The 14,155-nt window shown below is 51.2% G+C and overlaps 1 protein-coding gene across 11 annotated transcripts; it reads right to left on the reverse strand.

The window, feature by feature from the left end:
- Window positions 541-4,978, reverse strand: GGT6 (gamma-glutamyltransferase 6). Of its 11 annotated transcripts, none has more exons than XM_047435337.1 (5): window positions 4,783-4,978; window positions 3,959-4,161; window positions 3,744-3,839; window positions 2,060-2,868; window positions 541-1,292 (listed from the first exon to the last, which is right to left on the reverse strand). In XM_047435337.1, exons 1-4 carry the CDS (start codon window positions 4,920-4,922, stop codon window positions 2,711-2,713), a joined length of 597 nt encoding a protein of 198 aa, XP_047291293.1. In that variant the 5' UTR covers window positions 4,923-4,978; the 3' UTR covers window positions 541-1,292; window positions 2,060-2,710. The 11 variants fall into 11 exon arrangements, with proteins under 11 accessions (XP_047291293.1, XP_047291291.1, XP_047291290.1 ...); XM_047435335.1 differs by having other exon boundaries at window positions 2,060-3,458; XM_047435334.1 differs by having other exon boundaries at window positions 2,060-3,458; window positions 3,744-3,857.
- Window positions 4,979-14,155: the final 9,177 nt, after the last annotated feature.

Here is a 14,155-nt window from a genome sequence, read left to right on the forward strand (position 1 = left end):
CCAGGGGGGCATTTCTAAGGGCCCATCTCGGAAACAAACCTAGGTGTAGCACTTCGATCCGACTCGTCCCAGAGCGGCCCCTGCGCTCCGAACATTGAGCCATTCAACAATTACTGGGCTCCTGCTGGCGTGCCGTGCTAGGCGGTTGGAACAAAGCCTCTGCTCTCGTGGAGGAACACGGAGCCAAATGCATTTAAAAAGATCATAATTATGAAGAGAATTAGGAATGCAAGGGTCAGGAGGAGGCTTTTAAGTGCTGGAACGTGAATACATCACCCGTTAAAAACACGGCTAATTACTATTCAATAGGGTCTCCAATAATGATTTGAGGGGTTGGTCAGGGAAGGCCTCTGTGAGGAAGTGGCATTTGGGATGAGAGCTGAGTGACAAGAAGGGCCCCCCTCCCCCGTACTCCTGCAAGGATCTAAGGGGACGAAATCCCAAGCCTTGCAACTACAGAGACCCAGGGCTGGAGGGGCTGAGGCTGGCGAGAAGCAAGGCTGCATGGGGCCCCGGGCTGGGATTTCATTCTGAGGGTGATGGGAAGTCACTGGTGAGTTTAATGCAGGGGCAAGCCTGGATCCGATTTACATTTTAACAAGATGATGCTGGCTGCTGTGTGGGGGATGGACTGTAGGTCTGCGCAGGTGGAAGCACGGGAAGACCATTTAGAGATAGTGGTGGACTGGACCCAGGGAAAATGAGAACAGGTCAGATTTGGGCTGATGTGGAGCAGGTGGGGTGGGTGATGGAGTTAGATGTCGGGGGAGAGGAAATGAGGGGGATGCCAGGTTTGAGACTGAAATAACTGGGTACATTGTGGTGCCATTACGGAGAAGAATTTTCTTGGGAGTGGGAGGTAAAGGTGGTGGGATCAAACGGTCTATTAAATCAGAGAAGCCTTTTACAATGGCAGGGGAGGGGAACTGCTACTGGTCACCCTCGCTTCTTGGTTTGAGAAGCTGTTTATAGAGGGCTGTGGTCCAGAGAGGACCTAACCCTTGGGGGAGGTCAGGGCTAACCTTCGCCTTGAATTTCCACACGCTCAACTCCAACCCCTTTGTACCCAAGCCCCTGGGGCGCCTTCTCACCCTCTCAGCCGCTTCCCTGCTTTGCTGTCTGTTCTAGAAAGTGAAATGAAAACATTCACCTTGCACATCTGGTGCCCCAGGAGGCAGGAGGTGAGCGGAGCAGGGGGAAGCTGAAAGATACCAACCCAGGCTCTCCCCTCTCTGGTTGTTGGTCACCTGTGCTGCCCATCAGGGAAGCCCTGACTCCAGTTGCTTCAAAAGCTGTTGGAAAATTAACCAAGAAGCAGGAATGGTGCTTGGTTTCCGGGAGACTTGATCTTTATTTTGTACCCAGTCTGGTTGAGGCAGATAGGTAAGGGGTGTCCTGAAGGGAAGGACAGAGATGCCAACAGTACCCTGGGCTCTGCCTGTCCTGCTTCGTGGGGCCCAGGGCCTAGGCAGAGGCTCTGCACTCTTTCCACTGTCCTCCTGAAAGCTGGATCTGAACTCAGTGCTAGCCCCAGGCCCTACTGCTTTTTCGTTATTACCCTGATTTTCTTAGCTGATAAAATAGCTAGAGATTCCATCCGGTGTGGGTGATCTGAAGAATGATTGTTAGCTCTGGATGCCAGAACTCAAGTCTAGGTAACTTAAAAGGCCAGAGGTTGGGGCCTGAGCCAGCAGTGAGCACATAATAAATCCTTTTTTTTTTTTTTTTTTTTAGACAGGGTTTCCCTCTTGTTGCCCAGGTGGGGTTGCAATGGTGCGATCTTGGTTCACTGCAACCTCCACCTCTCGGGTTCAAGTGATTCTCCTGCCTCAGCCTCCCAAGTAGCTGGGATTACAGGTGCCCGCCACCATGCCCAGCTAATTTTTTGTATTTTTAGTAGAGACGGGGTTTCGCCATGTTGCCCAAGCTGGTCTCGAACTCCTAGCCTCAGGTGATCCACCTGCCTTGGCCTCCCAAAGTGCTGGGATTACAGGCATGAGCCACCGCACCCAGCTATTTTTTTATTATTATTATTATTATTTTAAAGACAGGTTCTCACTCTGTTGTCCAGGCTGGAGTGCAGTGGTGTGATCCTAGCTCTCTGCAGCCTTGAACTCCTGAGCTCAAGCGAGCTTCCTGCCTCAGCCTCCCAAGCAGCTGGGACAACAGGCATGTGCCACCGCCCCTGGCAAATTTTTAAATTTTTAGTACAGATGAGATCTTGCTTTGTTGTCTAGGCTAGTTTCAAACTCCTGGCCTCGAGGTATCTTCCTGCCTTGACCACCCAAAGTGCTGAGATTACAGGTGTGAGGCACCACACCCTGCGGGTGCACACTCCATTGCTGCTGTGTCTGCTCTGCTCCTGCCCCCATGCTTCAGATAACTCTGCCTTCTGCCAGACCCACCCCCATCCTGTTAGAACCCCTGGAAGGGGCAGCAGGCATGGGGGACACTGGAGACATGGGCGTGCTCTGTGTGGGCTGCCACCTGGAGCAGGGTCCCTTGGCCACAAGTGCTGGGATGCTCTGTTGGTTCTTGCTGACCCTGATGCTGGTGCTGGGCCTGGGTAGGGGGCCTTGCTGCCAGATGCCTGAGTAGGGTGTGAGTCATGGCCCTGGCCACATCAGGGGTCCCTGAAGCCACAAGCCCCAACACATCAGCCTCTGTGTCATCCAGGCTGCCACGGAGGATGAGGGGGCAGGCCCAGGCACTAGTGGTAGACTTGGCCACCAGGTTGCTGAGCAGAACCCCAGTGCTTGGGGACAGGTGTGCAGAGCCAAAGGAGCAGTTGAGCGAGGAGGTGAGAAGGAGCACAGAGCCGCTGCTGTCCACGGCGGCCAGGGCACTGCTCTCGGGGCTCACAGCAGTCTGCAGGAACGGTGGGCAGGGGTCAGGGATGGGCGCCCCGGAGCGCAGGGCTGCCTCCAACAGTGCCAGCAGTTCTGGGCCAGCTGAGGGACTGGGGGTGGTGAACAGGATGCCCTGGGGCACAGGTAGCTGCTCTGCTGGTTCCAAAGTGGGCCTGGGCACAGCCGAGGGCACCTCCACCCCCAGGTCTCCCGCCAGTAGACTCAGTAGAGCATCCCCAGCAAGGTCTGAGGTGGGAGCGAGGGCTGCGCTGCGAAGCACAGCTGCCAGTTGTGGGTTGGTGGCTCGGGCCCCAGCGCCCAGGGGTGTCCCATCAGCATGGCAAAGTAGTGGACAGAGGCCTTCTGTGCCCCGAGCCACCAGAGCCCTTGCCAGGGGTGTGTCCACCAGGAAGCCCTCCTGAGCCAGCGTGGTGGGGCCCACTAGCAGGCGTGGCCAGGGCAGGCGGCCGAAGCGTGCATGCAGCAGGTGCAGGGTGGGCAGAGCCGCGGGCAGCCCCAGGCCGGGGGCCAGGGTCTGTGCTGGGCCTGATGTCAGGGCCGTGGAATTGCCTGAGGAGCTATCGTGGAAGAGGCCCCAAAACATGGCACCTGCAGGAGACAGAGGGGTCCCTCAGCAGCCGCAGGTCAAGGGTCACTGACTTGTTTCAGTCAAGATCCCTTGACTGAGCCTGGGATCAGGAGTTACTGACCAGGCCTGAGGTCAAAGTTCCACAGACCCGGGCTCAAGGGTCATAGCCTGGGGTTGGACTGCTGCCCAAACCCTAAGTCCTGCTCACTTAGCAGTCTTGAGGTCAGTGCTACTGACTCCCTAAGTTCCAGGTCACTGATCAGGCTGTGGGTTGGGGTTGCAGTCTGGGGTCAGGGGTCACTGACCTAGCCCCGTGGCATGAGGATGCACCACTGCCAGGCACAATGCAGCTCCAACTCCAGCATCCACGACGTTGCCCCCGGCAACAAGCAGCTCTCGGCCTAGGTGGGAGCATGTGGCTGCAGCAAGGAAGGCACTGTCATGCAGCAAGGAGGGGGGCTAGGCTGGGCTGGTGACCCCTGACCCTCCCCTCCCCAAGCCGCCCCCAGCACTGACTGACCTGCAGGGCTGATGATGGCACCGTGGTGGTATACGCCAGGGCCGTGGGAGTGTCCGCCGGGTGGAGGGGCCACAGAGCCCAAGCTTCCTGTCGACCTGCCCTGATTCTGGAGCTGCCTCACAGCCAGGGAGCAGCCAACAGCCAGCAGCAGCAGGGCTGCCACTACACGGGCCCAGGTTCCGGGCAGCCCGCCAGCCTTGTTCCTGCAGAGGGGGGGTGTCCTGAGCCACGGCTGGGACAGAGGGATGCCCAAGGACCCCAAGAGACCCCAGGGAATATTTCCCAAAAGGTTTGATTTAGCAAGAGGAGCACAAGTCAGCCAAGGAGAAAGGGCTTCTTGGCAGCGGGTGCATCTTGGGCAGACATGGGGATGGGAAAGCATCTGGGGAAACTGAGCCTAGCTAGGGAGGGAGCCTCTGGAGGGGAGATTGGTGGGGCAGAGTCCACTCAGGTGGGAGGGAGGCCCAGTGGGGTGTGGCAGGCAGGAGAGAAGGGGCTGGGGAGCAGGCCCAGCCAGGCGTAGTCAGGCCCCAACCTGCCCAGCAGGTGCCTCCTGCACCAGGACTTGGGGGCTGGGGACCTTTGACAAAGCAGCAGATGGGACAGAGGCTGGCTTGGTACAAATGTCCCTCCAGATGCACAGACTTTTGATTGGGTCAGGCCAAGTCTCGGGCTACAGCCTGGGTTTTCCCCCAAATTGACCGTACAGTGCCTGGAGCTAAACCCAGCGGGGAGTCGCCTGGTCCCCCTGAGGGGCTCCAGAGAGAGGGACTTGCCAACCTCAAGCCTGGGGAGCCTGGTGCCCAGACCCCTCCCTTACTTACCTGGAAGAGTCCTGGTGCCTCCGGGGGTTTAGAACCAGCGCCTCTGATGTCTCCTCCTCCTCCACTTCCTCCTCCGACTCCAAGCTTGGCTCCCAGGGCAGCAGCTTCTGATAGACCACGGGCTCTTCTGCCCGCTCCATGGCCCCCCAGTGCTCGCCCCAGCCCTCCTGCCTGCCAGCCTTTCCGGCTGTGTCTCAGAGGCCCTGCCCAAGCCTGGCAGGTGGGAGGTGGCAGCGACCTTGGGGAAGGGTGGGGGTGGAATCCAGAACAGGTCTGGGCAGGGCACGGGGCCAAGGAGGCTGCATGTGAGCCTGCCCCATTAGGACACAAGGCCCGAGGAGCTCTCGCGACAGGGTTCCCGGGGTGACTGCCTGTAAGGGGCCACAGCTCAGTGAGGTCGAGAAGGAGTTCAGCCTTAATGCCACAACCTTGATACTCAGGGCACCTGCTGGGCTCCTCCCCTTGGGGGATGTAGCCCATGGATCCCACCCACCTGGGACTCTAGGGACTGTGGACTTGAATTAGAGCTACGGTTTCACGGTGGCTTGGGTCAGAGCTCCCACGTGCTTGAGTCTGCACGTGACTAGGTTCTGGCGTAGGGGTGTCTGGTCTCTGGCCGGGGTCAAGGCTCAGCCTGTGGCTACTCTGGGTCTGGGTTTCTTTGAGGAGCAACTTGGTTCGTAACTCCCTGTGCGTGTTTTGCGACTCTTGTCCAGAAGGTAGCGCCACAGCCTGGAAACCAACATTTCTAAATTCATTCTGGGATTCCCATCAAGGACTTGTTGCAAAACAGTGCTGTTTGTAACAGTCCCAAATTGGAAAGTGCCCAAACATCCATTATCGTTAGAATGAATGATGTAAGTCACAATGGACCACTCTGCAGCAAAGAGAGTGAGTGATCTACAATTATATGCAATAATATACACAGGTCTGACAAGCATAAGGACGAGGGAAAGCAGCCAGGCAGGAGACAGCGCACGCTATATGCTTTCATTTACACAAAGTACACAAACAGGCAACAACAAAAGAGCAACAACAGTCTGCCCTTAGAAGTCAGATAGTGACTGGAGGAGGTACCAGGGGGTTTCTGGAATGCTGGAGATGTCCTTTCTTTCCTTCCTTTCTTTCCTTTCCTTTTTCCTTTACCTTTCTTTTCTTTCTCTTCTTTCTTTCTTGACAGAGTTTTCATTCTTGTTGCCCAGGCTGGAGTGCAATGGTGCAATCTCAGCTCACTGCAACTTCCACCTCCTGGGTTCAAGCAATTCTTCTGCCTCAGCCTCCCGAGTAGCTGGGATTACAGGCACATGCCACCACGCCTGGCTAATTTTTTGTATTTTTAGTAGAGACAGGGTTTCACCATGTTGGCCAGCCTGGTCTTGAACTCTTGACCTCAGGTGATCCGCCCGCCTCAGCCTCCCAAAAGTACTAGGATTACGGGTGTGAGCCACCGCGCCCGGCCGAGATGTTGTTTCTTAATCTGAGTGTTGGTGACACGAGTGCCCTGGGTGTGAAAATGCATTGAGTTGGGCATTGATGACGTGTACTTTTCTATGTGAATATTGTCTTTCAATAAAAAAGTAAAAATGGAAAAGCTCAGGTATTTTCTACATTAAAACAACAACCATAAAAATCATCCTTTGAATCATCCATCATCCCATCTGGCTCTCCAGCTGCTTCCCTTTCTCATGGCCTCTTCACGAGCAAGTACACGGGTTCTTTAAGATTGGTGTGCATCACGATCACCTGAGGAGCTTGTTAAGTCAGATCGCTAGGCTCCTCTCCTAGAAAGTCTGGCTTCAGGTGTAGGGTCTAGAATGTGCTATCCCAATTGCCACAGTCCTGGAACCACACCTTCAGTCTAAAAAAAAAGTGTACACCTGCTGTGTTCACTTCTTTCTCTCCTGTTTCTTCCCTTAGCTGGTTTCTGTCTCTAGTTCCCCAGAGAAACCTTTGGTTTCCTTTTTTTTTTTTCTTGGGCCAATAAAAAACCAACCAACCAACCAAATAGAGCAGCCTAGGGTTGCCACCTTCTAATTTTGCCAATGGTGGGGAGATGGGAATCAAAATGACCATTTTTATGATTTTATGACATTTATGTCATAAAATAATTTGGTTTCACTTTCTGTTAACACAGGGTAAGAAGGTTAGAATCTCAGAATGAAGGTCCATCCTTCCTTCCTGGGAAAAGGCATCTGAGAGCCTTAGGGCTCTGTGCTGCCCCCATCTCCTGCCCCAGCCTCAGCCTGGCCTTCGGGCTCCTAGCATTATTCCTTTTGTCCAGCAGGCAGAATTATTTTCGGCCCCTACCCTGCCCAGCCAACATTCCTCTGCTCTTAGAGCTAGGTCCTGACAAGTTCTTTGGACAAGACCTCCACTAGTTAGGTTCTGGGAACATTTCCTAGTTCCCAGAACCTCTCATTCCTTTCTCATTCCTGCAGCTCTGGACCTATTAGCTAAGCTCCAATTCGATGTAGCTGGGTGCTGGGGATAAACGTGCTCAGGCCAAAGTAGCTCCAGGGGTAGATGGAGTCAGTCATTTGAGGGCTCAGAGTAGGGGTGGGGGTTGGCAATGGCTTCTGGAGAACTGGGTCTAGTTCTGTGTCTGCTAGTAACTGAATATATGACTGCAGGTGAGATATTTAACCTCTGGGAGTCTTGACTCCACTTCTGTAAAATGAGGATAACAATATTTGTCCTCCTAGGGTTGTTTTGAGGATTACACAAGAAAATATGTTTAAAGCCTCTAGACCAGTGCTTAGTACAGAGCAGTCCCTCCAAAAGCATGAGTTCCTTTCTCTCTGCTCTGTGAGCCTCAGTCTCCCCAGTGATTATTATGGATAATCTACATTCGCATGTCCATGCACACACACACACACACACACACGCAAAAGGTGGCTTGAAGTCTGTAGATTCATTAATTTCTTCATTCATTTCTTCATTCGTCCACTTATCCTAATGGTTCTCAACCTTAGATACACATTACAATTACCTGGCAAGCTCTGAAAAATTCTAATACCTATGCAGACCAGTTAAATAATGAAATCAGGACCTCTAAATTGTAGCTTCATCCATTGTTGAAGCTTCCCAGGTGTTTTCAATGGGCAGGCAAGGTTGAGAACCACTGCTTTAGCTAGTGATGTCTGCAATTGAAATCACCTGTAGCAACTGGAAAAACCCCAAACACCAATATCCTGGTCCCTCCCTTTCTCATACTCCCACGCCAATTGAATCAGCTTCTCTGAAAGTGAGTCTCAGTCATGATGATGTTTTGTTTTGTTTTGAGATGGAGTTTCGTTCTTGTTGCCCAGGCTGGAGTGCAATGGTGCAATCTCGGCTCACCACAACCTCCGCCTCCCGGGTTCAAGCGATTCTCCTGCCTCAGCCTCCCAAGTAGCTGGGATTACAGGCGTCCACCACCACACCCGGCTAATTTTTGTATTTTTAATAGAGACAGGGTTTCACTATGTTGACCAGGCTGGTCTCAAACTCCTGGCCTCAGATTGATCTCTCAGCCTTGACCTCCCAAAGTGCTGGGATTGCAGGCTTGAGCCACTGCACCTGGCCTCTGACTGCTCCTTCTAACCAAGAAGGGACCCCTGAGACGAGGAACAGGGAAGAGTATGGACCCCACGTGTGTGTTAAGTCTTTCCCCAGGTTGACTTTATAATTGGCCTTCTTGGACATGCTGGGATTTAACTCTAATTATAGAATGGAGACAATGACGTATGCGTATGTGGCAGGGTTGGGGGTGGGGATAGAAGGGGCTTTTCTTTGCAAGGTATCTCTCTCTGTGCAATGTGACCAAAATGCCAGAATATTATTGTTAAAGTACTTTTAAAAAATTATTCCAGGTGATTCCAGTTGTGATACAATGGCATTCAGAAATTCTTAACTCAGAGCCAGCATCCAATAGTCCCTGAAAGACATGGGTATTCCCATTTCCTGAGTTTACAGTTACCCTAGTAAATGGCAAATCCTCATTCTTTTTTTTTTTTTTTTTGAGATGGAGCCTTGCTCTGTTGCCCAGGCTGGAGTGCAATGGCACGATCTCGGCTCACTGCAACCTCCACCTCCCGGGTTCAAGAGGGAACAAGAGGGAAACTCTGTCTTAAAAAAACAAAAAAGGTAGTGATTCCTATCATATTTCAGTTTAATTTAGGGGCTTGTACAAGGCAGAAGACAGATGGGCCTTGGAAAATAACAGTAGATATAGTTTAAAAAAAAAGTCACTCAAATTGTAGCTGCTGTTCTAGGTGTTTCTTTTTTTCTTTCTTTCTTTCTTTCTTTCTTTCTTTCTTTCTTTCTTTCTTTCTTTCTTTCTTTTTTTTTTTTTTTTTTGAGACAGTCTTGCTCTGTTGCCCAGGCTGGAGTGCAGTGGTGCAATCTCGGCTCACTGCAACCTCCATCTCCTGGGTTCAAGCAATTCTACCCCAGCCTCCCGAGTAGCTGGAATTACAGGTGCCCGCCACCACACCCGGCTAATTTTTGCATTTTTAGTAGAGACAAGGTTTCACCACGTTGGCCAGGCTGGTCTTGAACTCCTGACCTCAGGTGATCCACCCACCTCGGCCTCCCAAAGTGCCGGGGTTACAGGCATGAGCCACCATGCCCGGCCTCTAGGTGTTTCTTTATGGGGAAAATCAACATAGCTCCTAGAAAATGCTTTCTTTCGTTTTTTTTTTTTTTGAGATGGAGTTAGTCTCTGTCACCCAGGCTGGAGCACAGTGGCACAATCTCGGCTCACTGCAACCTCTGCCTCCCAGATTCAAGCGATTCTCTTGTCTCAGCCTCCCGAGTAGCTGGGATTACAGGCATGTGCCACCATGCCTGGGTAATTTTTGTATTTTTAATAGAGACGGGGTTTTACTGTGTTGGCCAGGTTGGTCTCGAACTCCTGACCTCAGGTGATCTGCTTGCCTCGGCCTCCCAAATTGCTGGGATTACAGGCATAAGCCACCGTGCCCAGCCAAATGCTTTGTTCTTTATCCCAATAGCCAGATAATCCAGAAGTCATTTGTTTTTACCTGGTAGGGACAGCAGTGCACCTTTACAATCTTGCCTCAGAGTTGTGGCAACACAGTATCTAATGGTCAGTGTCAGGGATATAAACCATGGCAGCTGGTGCTCAGATGAGGTGGAGACAGTGGTGCCTTCCCCAGACAGTTCTGCAACGTGATTTTGAGCATTGGTCTTGGCCGCATAGCCTCTGAGCTAGCTCTCCAACAGCTCTACCCCCCATCCACTTTCTGTGCCCATAGATTTTTCATAAATTTATTTTCTATTTAACTCAGGCAGAAGCGTGTCTTTTGTTTACAGTTAATAACACTGACTGCTGCATATACTTCTAGGAGTCCCTAGAGGGCAGCAAACAGCACTTGCAGTTTGAAGCGGGAAACAGGGAGGCAGAAGCAGCGCCGGATCACATTGGATCACGCTGGATCACGTTGGACGCTGGCTCAAAGTCTCTGCAGAGGTAAAGAGGGCATTTGTGCTTTCCTGACCTGTTGGCTCTCAGGAAGAGTGTGTCTTAGACCTGGACTAAGGAGACTCACACTAAGGAAGTTCAATTCCAGCAGGAGCCCATTGCTTTGTCAATTTTTTTTTCTTCATATTTCTAAAGCAGAAGGGATGAATTATGAGGCGCTTGTGGTGTCTCTTTCCTGGTAGCATCTACTTCTTTATTCACTGCTTTTACCTCTTGTCAAACGTATTCTAGTTGCCTTTGGGCCTCAGCCTTTGTCCTGTACGGAGAGTCTTATTTATCTTAGACATTACCTGTGTGCCACCACAACCAGGTTCCTGGCTGCCTACCCTCCATTCTTCTCCCTAATAGCATCCAGATTTTCTTTTTCTTTTTCTTTTTTTTTTTTTTTTTTTTTTGAGACAGAGTCTCACTATGTGTGCAGTGGCGCGATCTCAGCTCACTGCAATCTCTGTCTCCCAGGTTCAAGCGATTCTCCTGCCTCAGCCTCCCAAGTAGCTGGGATTACAGGCGTGCACCACCACACCTGGCTAATTTTTGTATTTTTTTTAGTAGAGACAGGGTTTCTCCATGTTGGTCACGCTGGTCTTGAACTCCCAACCTCAGGTGATCTGCCCACCTTGGCCTCCCAAAGTGCTGGGATTACAGGCGTGAGCCACCATGCCTGGCCCAGATTTTCTTTTCTTTCTTTCTTTCTTTCTTTTTATTTGAGGCAGAGTTTTCCTCTCCCAAGTAGCTGGGATTACAGGCATGCACCACCATGCCCGGCTAATTTTGTATTTTTTTAGTAGACACAGCGTTTCTCCATGTTGGTCAGGCTGATCTCAAACTCCTGACCTCAGGTGATCTGCCCACCTCGGCCTCCCAAAGTGCTGGGATTACAGGCGTGAGCTACCGTGCCCGGCCCAGATTTTCTAATAGGGAATTATTCCTTGCTACTGTGTGTCGAATCCTGGGGAGAGAAGCCAAGGTCATTAGCAGTTCTAGGGTTTGGGGCTGACCTAGAGGAAAATGACCACGAGATGGCAGTAGCAGGCAATGAGCTTTATTGGGATGGCTCTGGGACAGAGTTACCTGTGAGGGGAAGTCCCCCGTAGCAGGGGTCCTTCTAAGGATAGTGATGCAGGGCCACCATCCAGAAAGAGAAGACAAGAGAGCTTCTGGGGAGAGGGGTATCAGAGACGGGGTTTACATGTCTAGATGAGGAGGGGTGTCTCCGGGTCAAAGAACTGCCAAGGGCAGCCCTGGCTTGGGCTTTTACAGCCCCAGGGTTTGTCCTCTCTATGGCCAGCAGATGTTGGGTGCAGTTTGGCAGGGTATATAAAGCAGGCAGGCTCTAAGTGGCTAGAAATATGTTTATTTGGGCTTTTTAATTTAAAGCAATTGGATGTGTAAAAAACTGAGTTTAGCTCTCATGGGGTTTTTGAGCTAGCAGTCCTGTTGCGAAGAAGTAAACAGCGTAGGACTCAAGGCACAACTCATTTATATGACAGAGGTGAATAACAGTGCCTGCCTCCCCCACTCTCTCCCACTACAGAGGTCGAGGGAGCAGATCCTTCCTCAGTCTCCCCTGCTTGTGTAGCCAAGGCAAACATGGGGCCTAAGCTCAGTCAGTTCGGGAATTGTCCCCAGGTCTTTAAAATTTTATTTATTTATGTATTTATTTTTGAGACAGGGTCTTGCTCTGTTACCCATGCTGCAGTGCAGTGGTGCAGTCGTGGCTCACTGCAGCCTTGATCTCCTAGGCTCAAGTGATCCTCCTGCCTCAGCCTTTTGAGTAGCTGAGATCACAGGTATGCACCACCATGCCCAGCTAATGTTTACATCTTCTGTAGAGATGAGGTTTCGCTATGTTGCCCAGGCTGGTCTCAAACTCCTGGGCTCAACCAATCTGCCCACCACCTCCCAAAGCATCTATATTTTCTTTTTCCTTTTTTCTTTCTTTTTTTTTCTTTTTCTTTTTTTTTTTTTTTTTTTTGAGATGAAGTCTCATTCTGTCACCCAGGTTGGAATGCAGTTGTGCGATCTAGGCTCACTGCAACCTCTCCCTCCCAGGTTCAAGTGATTCGCCCACCTTAGCCTCACAAGTAGCTGGGATTACAAGTGTGCACCACCATGCCTAGCTAATTAATTTTTGTATTTTAGTAGAGATGGGGTTTCACCACGTTGCCCAGGCTGGCCTCGAACTCCTGAGCTCAGACAATCCGCCCACCTTGGCCTTCTAAAGTGCTAGGATTGCAGGTGTGAGCCACCGCGCCCGGCCTAGATTTTCTAACTGGGAATTATTAAATAGCCTGGGTTTGAGCCACTGTACCCAGCCCTCCCCAGGCCTTTTCATATGTGTGTGTGACTTCAGTATTTGGAGATTTGGAGATTAGAATCATTGGCCAGTCTGGCCCTATCGAGAGACTCTGCCATGCTGCTTCTCGATTCTTTTTATTTACGTATTTATTTTAAGACAGAGTCTTACTCTGTCATCCAGGCTGGAGTACAGTGGCATGATCTCAGCTCACTGCAACCCCCACCTCCCGGGTTCAAGCAATTCTCCTGCCTCAGCCTCCTGAGTAGCTGGGATTACAGGAATGTGCCACCACAACCAGCTAATTTTTGCATTTTTTAGTAGAGACGGGGTTTCACCAGGTTGGCCAGGCTGGTCTCGAACTCCTGACCTCAGGTGACCCGCCCGCCTCGGCCTCCCAAAGTGCTGGGATTACAGGCGTGAGCCACTGAGCCCGCTACTTCTCGCTTCTTGATCCTTTAGAGCAGGCTTTGTCAACCAGGTCACTCCTCTGAACCACGGAACACAGGAATGATTTTCCCAATTCTCCAAAGAGTCTTTGCCCTTTCGCTTTCTTCCTGCTGGAATTCCGACTCTAGGCCTGGGCCCCGGGGATGGCAAGGCTGCACCAAGGACAGTGCGGCAGGCAGTAAACGGAGGCTGGGCCTTACTGACATCTCAACCAGCGGTGTCAGCCCTGGACTCTAGATCTTTACGTTTCTTGTCACATGGGCAAAATAAAGCTCCTTTGTGTAGCTGTGAGGTTGAACAAATAGGACTCACAGTCTGCCTTTATTTTAATCTCCTAATCTCCATTCAAATGTGTTTTGTGGGGATGGCCCATCACCATTCTTTTGAATGGAATATAGGGCAGGCCCATGTCTTTTTGGGACACTCTCTTTTGGTAAAAAGTTTTTGGGTCACTTCAAGTTATAAAAGTTTCATTTCAACCAGGCGCAGTGGCTGCTCACACCTGTAATCCCAGCACTTTGGGAGGCTGAGGCGGGTGGATCGCCTGAGGTCAGGAGTTTGAGACCAGCCTGGCCAACATGGTGAAACGCCGTCTCTACTAAAAGTACAAAATTAGCCAGGCAGGGTGGTGGGTGCCTGTAATCCCAGCTACTCGGGAGGCTGAGGCAGGAGAATCACTTGAACCTGGGAGGCAGAGGTCGTAGTGAGCTGAGATCGCACCACTGCACTCCGGCCTGCGAGATTGAGTGAGAACCTGCCTCAAAAAAAAAAAAAAAAAGGTTCATTTCAATAATTGCAATTAAAAAATAAGCGTGGTCCCATTCATGGAGCTGGAGGGTAGAGCAGTGGTTGCCAGGGGCTGGGGGAGGTGGGCTGGGACTTGTTGTTTAATGTGTGTGGGGTTCCGTCTGGGATGAGTAGCTTCTGTGGATGGCTGCGCAACAGCATGAGCATATTTGGGGCCACTGAAATGATTGTAAATTGGTTAAAATGGTAAATTGTGTGTTATGTATATTGTATCATGATGAAAAAATGCAAAAAAAAAGTATAAGCCAAAAAAACCCAAAACACCCCACAGCCCCTCCCCCAAATGTAAAAGTCCATTTAAAGTTAAAAACTTCTCCCTTGCACCTTCTCAGTCT

Source organism: Homo sapiens, chromosome 17 (assembly GCF_000001405.40).
Source record: "Homo sapiens chromosome 17, GRCh38.p14 Primary Assembly".
Taxonomy (NCBI): domain Eukaryota; kingdom Metazoa; phylum Chordata; class Mammalia; order Primates; family Hominidae; genus Homo; species Homo sapiens.

Coding starts and splice junctions, on each gene's coding strand:
- GGT6 (XM_047435334.1), bottom strand. CDS start 4,922: ATGGAGCGGGCAGAAGAGCCCGTGGTCTATCAGAAGCTGCTGCCCTGG. Junction 4,162..4,782: donor AGGCACCAGGACTCTTCCAG/GTAAGTAAGGGA, acceptor CCCCCTCTGCAG/GAACAAGGCTGGCGGGCTGC. Junction 3,858..3,958: donor TGCCATCATCAGCCCTGCAG/GTCAGTCAGTGC, acceptor TCCTTGCTGCAG/CCACATGCTCCCACCTAGGC.